The sequence below is a fragment of the Homo sapiens genome, chromosome 1 (assembly GCF_000001405.40).
Source record: "Homo sapiens chromosome 1, GRCh38.p14 Primary Assembly".
Lineage (NCBI taxonomy): Eukaryota > Metazoa > Chordata > Mammalia > Primates > Hominidae > Homo > Homo sapiens.
In genome coordinates, this window is record NC_000001.11 from 25,587,785 (window position 1) to 25,601,836 (window position 14,052).

The 14,052-nt window shown below is 47.3% G+C and overlaps 1 protein-coding gene across 5 annotated transcripts in view, besides 1 other annotated feature; it reads left to right on the top strand.

Annotated features, from left to right (window-relative positions):
* The window catches only part of LDLRAP1 (low density lipoprotein receptor adaptor protein 1), a 46,795-nt gene extending 44,179 nt beyond the window's left edge, over window positions 1-2,616 (top strand). For all 5 annotated transcript variants that reach the window (XM_006710560.5, XM_006710561.5, XM_011541211.4 and 2 more), the window contains one exon: window positions 2,385-2,616. Coding sequence is in view for 3 of the 5 variants with exons in the window: in XM_006710561.5 (XP_006710624.1) it covers window positions 2,385-2,397 (13 nt within the window). In the remaining 2 variants the exon portion in view is untranslated. The remainder of the gene's footprint in view (window positions 1-2,384) is intronic.
* Window positions 13,334-13,628: a silencer, noted in NCBI's record as "tiled region #3419; K562 Repressive non-DNase unmatched - State 21:Repr". NCBI's record gives its function as "represses a minimal TATA promoter and a strong SV40 promoter by Sharpr-MPRA in K562 cells {active_cell/tissue: K562}" and the evidence as "EXISTENCE:reporter gene assay evidence [ECO:0000049][PMID:27701403]".

Sequence of the window (14,052 nt, forward strand, 5' to 3'; positions counted from 1 at the left end):
CAGCTGGGGTTCAAATCTAGGGTCCACCGCATATCAGTAACCTTATTTTGGATGGGTCAGGTGTGTGTGGGGAAAAGAAAGAGAGATCAGATTGTTACTGTGTCTATGTAGAAAGAAGTAGACATAAGAGACTCCATTTTGTTCTGTACTAAGAAAAATTCTTCTGCCTTGAGATGCTGTTAATCTGTAACCCTACCCCCAACCCTGTGCTCCCTGAAACAAGTGCTGTGTCAACTCAGGGTTAAATGGATTAAGGGCTGTGCAGGATGTACTTTGTTAAACAAATGCTTGAAGACAGCATGCTCCTTAAGAGTCATCACCACTCCCTAATCTCAAGTACCCAGGGACACAAACACTGCGGAAGGCCGCAGGGACCTCTGCCTAGGAAAGCCAGGTATTGTCCAAGGTTTCTCCCCATGTGATAGTCTGAAATATGGCCTCGTGGGAAGGGAAAGACCTGACCGTCCCCCGGCCCGACACCTGTAAAGGGTCTGTGCTGAGGAGGATTAGTAAAAGAGGAAGGAATGCCTCTTTGCAGTTGAGACAAGAGGAAGGCATCTGTCTCCTGCTCGTCCCTGGGCAATGGAATGTCTCATGTAAAACCTGATTGTATATTCCATCTCCTGAGATAAGGGAAAACTGCCTTAGGGCTGGAGTTGGGACATGCGGGCGGCAATACTGCTCTTGAAGGCATTGAGATGTTTATGTGTATGCATATCTAAAGCACAGCACTTAATTCTTAACCTTGTTTATGATGCAGAGACCTTTGTTCACCTGTTTACCTGCTGACCCTCTCTCCACTATTATCCTATGATCCTGCCACATCCCCTTCTCTGAGAAACACCCAATAATGATCAGTAAATACTAAGGGAACCCAGAGGCCGGCGTGGATCCTCCATATGCTGAACGCCGGTCCCCTGGGCCCCCTTTTTTCTTTCTCTATACTTTGTCTCTGTGTCTCTTTCTTTTCCAAGTCTCTCGTTCCACCTAACAAGAAACACCCACAGGTGTGGAGGGGCAACCCACCCCTTCAAAGTGGCCTCACAGAGGTTCTGTTTTTCCGTCTTAAAGTGGGTCCGCCCTGCTTTTCTCTTGGGTCATGGAGCGCCTTGAGAGTGCCATTTCCATCTTGTCTTTAGGTCCTATGTGCTCTCCCCGCTGCCTGGACCACTCCTCTTTCCATGTCCACTTCTGCATCTGCAAGATGTAGTGTTCCTTCCTCTAAGAAGTCTTCCTGGGCCGGGCATGGTGGCTTACGCCTGTAATCACAACACTTTGGGAGGCCGAGGCGGGGGGATCACCTGAGGTCGGGAGTTCGAGACCAGCCTGACCAACATGACAAAACCCCGTCTCTACTAAAAATACCAAAATTAGCCAGGCGTGGTGGCGCACATCTGTAGTTTCAGCTACTCAGGAGGCTGAGGCAGGAGAATTGCTTGAACCTGGGAGGTGGAGGTTGCAGTGGGCCGAGATCACACCACTGCACTCCAGCCCAGGCAACACAGCAACACTCCATCTCAAAAGAAAGAAAGAAAGAAAGAAAGAAATATATCAAGGGCTGGGGGTGAGCAACACTAAGGAGTATGCTTGTTGAGTGTGATGGTTGACTTTATGCATCAACTTGACTGGGGTAAGGGATGCCCAGATAGCTGGTAAACCCATTATCATTATGGGTGTGTGAGACGTTTCTAGAAGAGATTCACATTTGAATCCATAGACTAAGTAAAGAAGATCCACTCACACCAATGTGGGTAGGCACCATCCAGTCTCTCACAGAATGAAAGAATGGAGTAATAATATAGAATATAGAATAAAATGCTGGAGGAGGGGTAAATTCTCCCTCTCTCTCTTCTTGAGCTGGGACCTCCATCTTCTCCCGCCCTCCAGCACTGAAGCTCTTGGTTTTTTGGGTCTTCAGATTTGGGCTGAATTACACCAAGGCTTTCCTGGCTGTCCAGTTTGCAAATGGCAGGTCATGGAACTTCTTGGCCTCCATAATTGTGTGGGCCAACTCCCATAATAAATACCCTCTTACGGGCCGGGCGCGGTGGCTCATGCCTGTAATCCCGGCACTTTGGGAGGCCGAGGCGAGCGGATCATGAGGTCAAGAGATCGAGGCCATCCTGGCCAACATGGTGAAACCCCGTCTCTACTAAAAATACAAAAAAATTAGCTGGGCATGGTGGCACGCGCCTGTAGTCCCAGCTACTTGGGAGGCTGAGGCAGGCGAATCACTTGAACCCAGGAGGTGGAGGTTGCAGTGAGCCAAGATTGTGCCACTGCACTCCAGCCTGGTGAAAGAGGGAGACTCCGTCTCTAAATAAATAAATAAATACCCTCTTATATGTATAGCTCTCTGTATCCTATTTGTTCTGTTTCTCCAGAGATCCTGACTAATACGCCAAGGCCCAGGGCTGCATGCCCAGGACTCAGGAAGAGTCTCGAAGAATCCTCTGCACACAAGAACACTGCTATCCGCCGAAGCTGATGTCAGCTATTCCCTGCAGACTGGCCTGGTCCAGCAGAGCCAGCTCTGCTAAACTACCACAGGCAGGAAGAAAATGAGCCACCAGGGGCCTCCACACTTGTCTCTCATAAAAGATATATGCTCCACAAGGACAGGGGTTGAGTCTGTCTTGTTCCCTGCTCAATAATTGTGTGCTATGGATAAGTAAATGAATGGATCAAGAGATAAGGATGGAAGAGCAATTTACAAACCCAAAGCATTGTGCAAGGCAGGGCATAATTGGGTAGGAATGCTTCTTCTAGAAGTTATTCCTTAGGAAAGGCCAAACAAAAAGTCTATTAATAGACCCGATTAATAAACATCAGCCAAGGTAAATGTTAACAGGAAGTATTTCTGCAAATGTTGGCGGTCTCTCAGGCTGGGCTCAGAGTAGGCTGGCATGCTGGTGAAGAAGACTTCCTGCCTCCTGTTTGCTCAGAACATGTTCTCAGGCCTAGGGGAGCCTCCTTCTTGAACCCCAGAATGGGTGCCACAGTCCCAGGCTTGCCGCATCCTGGAAGTTCACCCTACTTCAGTATGCAGTCAGATCCAGGTACGCAGGGACGCAGTGTGCGGTCAGACCCAGTTATGCAGGGATGCAGTGTGCGGTCAGACCCAGTTATGCAGGGATGCGGTGTGCGGTCAGACCCAGTTATGCAGGGATGCGGTGTGCGGTCAGACCCAGTTATGCAGGGATGCGGTGTGCGGTCAGACCCAGGTATGCAGGGATGCGGTGTGCGGTCAGACCCAGTTAGATGGTCCTTAAACATGCCATGCTGATTTGCCCCTGGGGGCTTCACTTGTGTTCTTCCATTGTTCCTCTTTTCCTCACTTCCTTCAGGTTTCTGTACAAATGTCGCCTCCTCAGAGAGGCCTCATCTGACCCCATTCAAAATTAGCAGCCACACAGAGGTATAATATGCTGAGAAAAATTTAAAAATAAAAATAAAATAAAACAGCAGCTGCTGTTGCCATAATTATCCATTAAAAATATCCCCTAACCCTGTTTTAATTTTTTTTTTTTTTTTAATTTTTGAGATGGAATCTCCGAGGCTGGAGTGCAGTGATGCGGTCTCAGCTCACTGCAATCTCAGCTTCCCGGGTTCTGGGCTCAAGCAATTCTCTTGCCTCAGCTTCCTGAGTTGCTGGGATTTACAGGCATGCACCACCATGCCCGGCTAATTTTTGAATTTTTAGTAGAGACAGTTTCGCCATGTTGGCCAGGCTGGTCTCGAACTCCTGACCTCAGGTGATCTGCCCACCTTGGCCTCCCAAAATGCTGGGATTACAGGCGTGAGCCACCGCACCCTGCCTTAATTTCTTGAAAGGACTTATTGCAAGTTGAAATTGTATATAAGATACATTTGTTTTTATTAATTTTATCTGATTCCCTCTTCATTCTAGAGGGGAAGTTGGACAAAATACATTATTTTTTCTTTTTTTCTTTTATTTCTTTTTTTTGAGACGGAGTCTCACTCTGTCACCCAGGCTGGAGTGCAGTGGTGCGATCTTGGCTCACTGCAACCTCCACCTCCCCGGTTCAACCAATTCCCCTGCCTCAGCCTCCTGAGTAGCTGGGATTACAGGAGCTCGCCACCACGCATGGCTATTTTTTTTTTTTTGTATTTTTAGTACAGATGGAGTTTCACCATGTTGGACAGACTGGTCTCAAACTCCTGACCTGAGGCAATCCACCAGCCTCGGCCTCCCAAAGTGCTGGGATTACAGGCATGAGCCACTGCTCCTGGCCTTTCCTTTTCTCCTTTTCTTTTCTTTTTCTTTTTCTTTTCTTTTTGCAGAGTCTTGCTCTGTTGCCCAGGCTGGAGTGCAGTGGCACGATCTTGGCTCCCGTAACCTCCACCTCTGGGACTCAAGCTGTCCTCCTACTGAGCTCAGCCTCCCAAATAGCTGGGACTACAGGCGCATGCCATCATGCCTGGTTAATTTTTGTATTTTTTGTAGAGATGGGGGTTTCGCCATGTTGCCCAGGCTGGTCTTGAACTTCTGGACTTAAGTAATCTGTCCACCTCGGCCTCCTCAGTGCTGGGATTACAGGCGGGAACCACCGCGCCTGGCCATTTTTCTTTTTTTTCTTGAGATGGAGTCTCGCTCTGTCACTCAGGCTGGAGTGCAATGGCGCCATCTCGGCTCACTGCAACCTCCACCTCCCGGGTTCAAGCGATTCTCCTACCTCAGCCTCTCAAGTAACTGGCACTACAGGCGTCCGCCGCAACGCCCAGCTAATTTTTTTTGTATTTTTAGTAGAGACGGGGTTTCACCGTGTTAGCCAGGATGGTCTCCATCTCCTGACCTCGTGATCCATCCGCCTTGGCCTCCCAAAGTGCTGGGATTACCGGCGTGAGCCACTGCGCCCGGCCCATTTTTCGTTTTTTAAAAATAAATAAATAAGTTTGTCCTGTTTACCGCTCTATATCCAGCACCTAGAACAGCGCCTGGCACCTAAGCAGGCATTTGGTAAAACTGTGCCAAATGAGTGAGTGCGGACAGCGTCCTAGTCCTTCACCAGCCCCCTCTCAGCAGCGCAGGCAACTGGCCCAGCTGTGTCTCCCGCACGGGCCGGCGGGCGCTGTGATGGAGGCAGTGCAGGATGCCGTGTGAGCCCGAGGAAGGACTTGCAGCCCTGCTGAGGGGACGAGGCGAGGCTTCTTGGATGACGCCACATCTAAACTGAGATCCGAGGGCTGAGTAGGAATTCTCTTAAAGAGGAGGAGAGAGGGCCGGGTGCGGTGGCTCACGCCTGTAATCCCAGCACTTTGGGAGGCCGAGGGGGGTGGATCACCTGAGGTCAGGAGTTCCAGACCAGCCTGGCCAACATGGCGAAATCCTGTCTCTACTAAAAATACAAAAATTAGCCAGGCATGATGGTGGGTGCCGTCATGCTACTTGGGAGGCTGAGGCAGGAGAATTGCTTGAACCCAGGGTGGAGGTTGCAGTGAGCCGAGATCGCACCATTGCAGGCCAGGCTGGGTGACAGAGCGAGACTCTGTCTCAAAGAAAAAAAAAAGAGAGAAGTAGAGAGTTCAGGATAGAGGGACATACAGGTGCAAAGTTCTGAAGGCAAGAGAGAGTCTGGCAAGTGGGTAGAAAATAAAGGAGATTCATGGGTGTGTATGAGAATGGGGAGAACAGGGTGGGCTCATGAAGGATCTGGAGTGGCTCTTAAGTCTGGACATGACATGCCCAGAACAAATATCTGCAAATAGCTCCAGGAACTTTGCCATATCCAGCATCTCTTGTCCTGGTAATAAATACTATTTGCTTAATATTTTACTTATAGCTGAATCAGTTTACTTAAATACATTCATATAAAAAGGAAACCCTCTGTAACACTATCCTAATTTGTATGATATACACAAAGTAACAGTAAAACTAAACCAAATGAAAACAAAATTCAGATGCTCCTTGACTTAACATGAGGTTACATTCTGATAAACCCATCGTAAATTGAAAATATCCTATGTCAAAAATGCATTTAATATTCCTAACCTACTGAACATCATAGCTTAGCTTCACCTCCCTTAAATGTGCTCAGAACACTTAAAATAGTCTACAGCTGGGCAAAGTCATCTGGCAACCCAGTCCATGGTGGAGTATCTGCTGTCTACCCTCATAGTCCTGTGGCTGACTGTGAGTTGCAGCTCCAAGTCAAAGCACATATTGCCAGCCCAGAAAAAGATCGAAAATCAAAATTCCAAGTACAGTTTCTACTCAATGCTCATTGCTTTTGCATCATCATAAAGTCAAAAAAATTGTAAGTTGAACCATCATTTAAGTCAGGGACTGTTTGCAGTGTTATATTTCATTGCCTAAGACTCTGATTTTACAGTCTACTTTCTCTTTTTAAAAAGGGAGAATCACAAGTGTCAACAAAGTGTTAAAGACATGGTAGCACCAGATGGAACTTTCTGTCTCGGTTCTTTCTAAGATTACTGTATTTCAGTAATTACATAAAATAATTTTTTTTTGAGAGGGAGTCTTGCTCTGTCACCCAGGCTAGAGTGCAGTGGCACAATCTCAGCTCACTGTAACCTCTGCCTCCTGCATTCAAGCAATTCTCCTGTCTCAGCCTCCTGAGTAGCTGGGATTACAGGCACGCGCCACCACACCCAGCTAATTTTTGTATTTTTAGTAGAGATGGGATTTCGCCACGTGAGCCAGGCTGGTCTCAAACTCCTAACCTCAAGTGATCCGCCCTCCTCGGCCTCCCAAAGTGCTGGGATTACAGGCATAAGCCACCGCACCAGGCCAAATAATCTTATAAATGGTACAATTTCCACACATAGAGAAACTTGCTGTAAACTTTTCAGGTGTCTGGCTGAATAGGAGTAGGATATGGAAGAGGAAATGAGGTAATAGCTAAGAAAACGAACAAGCCAATCAATCAATCAGTCAAGTTTTGTCCTCTCACTCCCTTACATTGTAAAACCTACTCATCCACTCATCCACCCATCCAATCACCTGGGCATACACCTGCCTGCCCATACACCCACTGACCTTTCTGTTTATCTGCCTGCCCATTCACAAACCCATCTACTTACCCACTTGTATCTGCCTGCCCCTCTATCTGAGCATCTTCCCACCTGCCAAATATATGTACCCACTCTCTCCACCAAACCACTTTCCTAAACATTCCCCATCCTTTCCTCCATCTACCTGCCTGTCCATCCATTCATTGTCCATTTATCTATCCATCCACCCATTCATTCAGCCATCTGTCCACCCAACCTTCCATTCACCTGTCCATTCATCTACTTATCCACCCAACCTTCCATTCATCTGTCTATCCATTCTTCTACCCAAACTTTCATTCAGCTGTCTATCCATCTATTCATCCACCCAAGCTTTCATCCATCTGTCCATCCATCCATCCATCCATCCATCCATCCATCCAATTCATCCATATGTCCACCCAAGCTTCTATCCACTTATCCATCTATCCATCTGTTCATCTGTTAATCCATTCATCTATCCATCTACCCATCTGTCCACCCGTCTGTCTATCTATCCATCTATCCCACGAAATACAGTCCCACATAATACAATTCCCTAGTTCTCCTCCTATTCTTTCTAACACAGAAACTGTGGCCATGACCTCTTTAATTGATTTGAATGTGGAGTCTTATTGCTTCATACAACCCTCAGTCCTACCTGAGTTGCTTCTTGGATTGTTCCTGGATAGAATCTCTGAAAATCACCTTATTCTTGCTGTCCCTGACCCCTTGCCCCCATATACGCCTCCCTGGGTCTTCTTTTCCCACAACCTTACCAGGGCAGAGGCCTAGAGTTTCAAAGCTAGAAGGACTTGGACAACCAAGTCCAGTGCTTCCAGTTTCTAGATGGGAAAACTGAGGTCTAGAGTGGGCAAGGTGCTTAAGCAAGGTGACAGGGTGAGCTAGTCACAGTGCAAGGAACCTTTACTTTCCCAAACTAAATCCTCCAGTTCCCGGAAGTATGTATTGATTTCTAAAATGACAGGGCTCAAAGCATCCTTAGACATCAGCTCATTCAGTGTTTTCTCACTCAAGGAGAAGGGCCTCACAGAGAAGGAGGTTGGGAATGGTCTAGTTGCTGAGTCCTACATTCCTATTCTTTTCTTTTTCTCTCTCTCTTTTGAGACAGAGTCTCACCGTGTCACCCAGGCTAGAGCGTAGTGATGCAATCTTGGCTCACTGCAGCCTCTGCTTCCCAGGTTCAAGTCATTCTTCTACCTCAGCCTCCATAATAGCTGGGGTTACAGGCATGCACCACCACTACTGGCTAATTTTTGTATTTTTAGTAGAGACGGGGTTTCACCATGTTGGCCAGGCTGGTCTCGAACTTCTGACCGCAAGTGATCCATTGGCCTCAGCCTCCCAAAGTGGTAGGATTATAAGCGTGAGCCACCTCTCCTGGCTCCTACATCCCTATTCAACCACAGGATAGGAGTATGTAAGATTTTTTTGAACAAGAGATTTTGCTGCTAAGAAAAAGATTTAAAATCTTTGTTCTTATCCAATGCCCTCACTTTATGAACAAGGCAGCAGGCTCAGGGAGGAAGAGGTTCTTACTTAAGATCTCATAGTAGGTAAGTGGAAGAGCTGGGTCACTAAATCAGGTCTCCTGGCCCTGTCATTTTTATTTGCTAAGCATCTGCTGGCTTTAGAGGGACCTGAATTGTGGTGGCCAGGGAAGAGGGAATGCTACTCTTCTATTTCAGGAATTCCCAGATCTGGCTTAGGGAAGGCAAATGCTGCAATTTTGCTGTTCATAAACTGATGAGATACTACACTTTAAGAAAAAATCAAATGTGGGCCGGTCATGGTGGCTCATGCCTGTAATCCTAGCATCTTGGGAGGCCGAGACGGGTGGATCACCTGAGGTCAGGGGTTCAAGACCATCCTGGCCAACATGGTGAAGCCCTATCTCTACTAAAAACACAAAAATTAGCTGAGCGTGGTGGCACACACCTGTAAACCCAGCTACTCAGGAGGCTGAGGCAGGAGAATTGCTGGAACCCGGGAGGCAGAGGTTGCAGTGAGCCAAGATTGCGCAACTGCACTCCAGCCTGGGTGACAGAGGGAGACTCTGGCTGCTGAGGGAAGGCAGGCAGGGTGAAAATTGTACCCTAAGTCCCTCCTGTATGATGGCTTCTTCCCTTCTCCTTTTTTCCTCTTTTTAAAAATATATATTTTAAGGCTGGGCCCAGTGGCTCATGCCTATAATCCCAGCACTTTGGGAGGCAGGCAGATCACCTGAGGTCAGGAGTTAAAGATCAGCCTGGCCAACATGGTGAAACCCCATCTCTACTAAAAATACAAAAATTAGCTGAGCATGGTGATGGGCACCTGTAATCCCAGCTACTTGGGAGGCTGAGGCAGGAGAATCGCTTGAACCCAGGAGGCAGAGGTTGCATTGAACTGAGACTGTGCCATTGCACTCCAGCCTCGAGACAGAGCGAGATTCTGTCTCAAAAAAAAAAATTATATATATATATATATATATATATATATATATATATATATGTACACACACACACATATTTTAGAACCAGGGTCTTGCTATGTTGCCCAGGCTGGAGTACAGTAGCTACTCACAGGCATGATCATAGCATGCTACAACTCCAAACTCTTGCCTCAGTCTCCTGAGTAGCTGGGACTACAGGCATGCACCACTGTGCCCAGCCCTCCCCTTCATAGCTGTCTCTTTGCCTTACAAATTCTGTTAAAGTTGTGAGAGCTGAGCACACTTTGCTCACTGTGATTGTGGGTTTTGCCACTGAAAATGGCAGTCCCACGCAGGAGAGACACAGGATGCTTTCCTCCCCCGATACATGGGGCAAATGGCTCTCTGCTCCCTGAGTGGAGGGCAGCAGTTTTGGGGATTTTTGTACTCCTCTAGCTCAGCTCCATTTGAAACTCAGCCTGTTGATGTTCTCTGGGATCTAGGGCCAAGCTCTCTAGCATCTGACCTTGTCCTGCGACCTTCCACCTGCACTTGCTGTCACTCTGAGTTTTTTGTTCTCACCAGCATTTGCTGAAGCATCATCCTTGTTTATCTGCCCTGCCTGGGCCTTTTAACACAGGTGAACTCACCTTTGTATAACATGCGATGGTTAAGAGCAGGCTCTGGAGTCAGGCTGTGTGGGTTCAAATCTCAGCTACACTGTTTACTGGTGTGCTCTTGGGCAAATTACTTAACCAGTTTTGGCCTGTTTCCTCGTCTGTAGAATGGATATATAAAATGATAGGAAGATCAGAGAAAATACTTGTGCTGGGATCCGAAGGAAGAGGGGAAGAAGAGAGAAGGAAGGGAATCACAGACAGAAGCAAATAGCGTGTGCAAAGCCCTGTAGCAGCAAGAAGAGGCAGGGAGACTTGAGAGAAGGCCCAGGACTGCAAAGAGGCGACAGCTTGGCTCGCTCAGCCTCTTTTGTTGTGTGTCTTCCTGTACTAGAGAGACTCAGAAGCTAGATGTCTCTGAAGCCAAGGGTGCAGGTCAGATGCGACTTAGGCTCTACCAATCAGATGTACCATGGATGTTAATGTTCTAAGTCAGGGGCCATGTTTCTCTGGTCTTTGGACAAGCAGAGTCAAGGAGGTATTTGTTTTTCCACAGCAGCTGTTGCAGAGGGCTCAGCGTCTAGATCCATGTGTTGTGATTGTAGGGGAAGAGCTTGGGTCACCCATTCTGCGGCATGGGTCAGGGTAGAGTACTGTCCTTCCTGGAGCCGGCAGGGGTGGTGGCCACCTGATTTCCCAGCTTCTTGATTATGGTGGTGGCTGCAGCTCCCCTGGCAGGCCAGTTCTGCAGTGTTCTTCTGGGGATCATTTCTGGAAGCTCAGCCTAGAGTCAGCCTCTCCAACCCTCCCAACACTGGTGTAAGTACCTTTCCCTTGTATTAAATTCCTTTCTTCCTAAACAAGCTGCTGCAGTTCCTGTGATCTGAAACGGAGACTGACTGTGGTGTATTAAAGCGAAACATAAAGTTTTCCCATTGAGAAATGAAGCTTATTTTGCCTCCCTTCAATTGGCACCAGCCCTGTGACTGCTTAACCAAAAAGAAAGTGGTGGAACTGATGCTCGTCAATTCTAGGCCTAGCCTGGAAATTAAGAGCTACTGGAATGCTCACTCTTGAGACACTCTGTCTCAGAACCCAGCTGGCATGCTGTGAGAAGCCCCAGCCACATGGAGGGCTGCATGTTGGCACTCCAGGCAACAGCCCCAGTTGAACTCCCAGGCAACAGCCATCATCAACCATCAGACATGTGAGTAAGCCACTTTGGAAAGCCAGCCGAGTCAAGCCTCCAGATGACTACAGCCCCAGAAGAACCATACAGCTGAGCCCAGTCAACCCAGAGAATCACAAGAGATATAAACAGTTGTTTTAGGGCACTAAATGTTGGGATGATATGCAGTAAAAGATAACAAAACACTGACTGCTACAGGCCAGGGAAGCAAGAGGCAGCTGGAGGAGTCAGCAAAGGTGGATTATTAGCCGGGCCATGGTTAGCAGCTTTATGGATATCCGAGGAGATAGAAAGGTAGAAAGGTGGAAAGGTGGCCAGGCATGGTGGCTCATGTCTGTAATCCCAGGGCTTTGGGAGGCTGAGGTGGGCAGATTACCTGAGGTCAGGAGTTCGAGACCAGCCTGACCAACATGGCAAAAACCTGTCTCTACTAAAAATATAAAATTAGCTGGATGTGGTGGTGAGCACCTGGAATCCCAGCTACTCGGGAGGCTGAGGCAGGAGAATTGCTTGAACTCAGAAGTTGGAGGTTGCAGTGAGCCGAGATTGTGCCACTGCACTCCAGCCTGGTCAACAGGAGCAAAACTCTGAAAAGAAAGGAAGAAATAAGAAAGAAAGAAAAGAAGAAGAAAAAGAAAGATAGAAAAAAAGAAAGATAGAAAAAGGAAGGAAGGAAGGGGAAAGAAAGAAAGAAAGAAAGGAAAAGAAAGAAAGGTGGGAAAATGACATAGTGGAAAGGTGACATGGTTGCATCTACCTTTCATATGGGCCATTCTGCCTGCTGTATGGAGAACAGATTGCAGGGAGCCAGAGAGGTGGACCAGCCTGGAAATTATTGCTGTTGTTGAGGCAAGAGCTGAGTGTGGCTTGGGACAGGGGGTAGTGGTTGAAGGGGAGCCAGGTAGATGCATCAGAGATAAAAGGATAATACTGGGTGTTGGCTGAGGGGCTGCAGGCTCTCTGTGTGAGTTCTACCTGCCTAGTTCCTTCTAAGGGCCTCGTACCTCTACAGAGTCACACAATGGAAAGAGCAAGGGCTCAGGTATCGGATATATTGGGTGTTAATCTTATATCCAACACCCACCTGCTGTGTTACCTCGGGCAAGTCACCTAACTTCTCTGGACTTCAGTTTTCCTCTTCAATCAAATGGGACCATAAGAAGGATGATAATAATAATTTCATTGATTTGTTGAGCAGTGCCTGGCACACGGTAGGCACTCAATAAATATTTGTTGAATAAATGAATTGAATAGGCTGGAATTGAGGGGGGACAAGGAGGAAATGGTCTCCTTTACCTGCAAACTTGCTCTATAAAGAACCGATTTCCCTTCTTGACTCCTGCTGATAATTCAGGCAGTTCTATGGCTTTCTGTTCCCTTTTGGTCAAAGTAAACAGTTTCATTTTGATAATTAAAACTCACGGCAGTAACTAGAAAGTCCACTCTGACCCAGTGAAATGTAAAATTTTGATTTCGCCTCCAGTTAGAAGGTGAAACAAATCCCTCCTTCAATCAGTACCTACTGTGTGCCAGCCCCTGTGTGTGGTATAGTCAGCTAAGGGCTTGAATCATCAGGAAAAATACAGGAAAGCCTGTTAAATTTGAATTTCAGATAAATAATCAGTGTCCTTTTGGTATATGTATGTCCCCAAATAATGCATGGAGCGTACTTAGTAAAAATTATTTGTAGCTTATCTGAAATTCAAATTTAACTGGATTTCCTGGCCAGTATTTTTTTTTTTTTTTTTTTGTGAGACAGAGTCTCACTCTGTCACCCAGGCTGGAGTACAGTGGCACAATCTCGGCTCACTACAACCTCTGCCTCCCAGGTTCAAGCACTTCTCCTGACTCAGCCTCCCAAGTAGTTGGGATTACAGGCGTATACCACCACGCTCGGCTAATTTTCATTTTTTTGTTCATTCGTTTGTTTGTTTTAAGTAGAGACAGGGTTTCCGCATGTTGGCAAGGCTGGTCTTGGACTTCTGACCTCAAGTGATCCACCTGCCTTGGCCTCCCAAAGTGCTGGGATTACAGGCGTGAACCACCACCCCAGCCCTGCCCAGTATTTTTATTTGCTAAATCTAGCAACCCCAGGGGCAGAGGACATGGCCCTGAAATGACTTGGCCCTTGTCCTGTGGGAGTGTTTGCCTTGGCTAAAGGCGCTTGACTCCATGTGGGTAAACAGGAGCTGGAATACCTTCCCCCTACTTTCCCTTAGTATAGTGGGCATTACCTCCATGGGAGAAGGCTGGCTGCCTGCCAGTGAGATTGGAGCAGCACTCCTTTGTCTAAATGACTGGTCCCATTGCCTAGGTATCCACCATTATAACTACAACCCTTTGACCTTTGGAGGCTTCCTTCCTTCCTTCCTTCCTTCCTTCCTTCCTTCCGTCCTTCCCTCCCTCCCTCCCTCTCTCTTTCTTTCTTTTTCTCTCTCTTTCTCTCTCTCTCTTTCTCTCTTTCTCTTTCTCTCTCTCTTTCCCTCCCTTCCTTCCTTCTTTCTTTCTTTTTCTTTCTTTTCTTTTCTTTCTTTCTTTCTCTCTCTCTTTCTTTCCTTCCTTCCTTCTTTCTTTCTTTCTTTCGTTTTCTTTCTCAGAGTCTTGCTCTGTCACCCAGGCTGGAGTGCAGTGGCACAATTTTGGCTCACTGCAACCTCCACCTCCCGGGTTCAAGCAATTCTCCCGCCTCAGCCTCCTGAGTAGCTGGGATTACAGGCACCTGCCACTATGCCCGGCTAATTTTTGTATTATTAGTAGAGATGGGGTTTCATGATATTGGCCAGGCTGGTCTCAAAGTC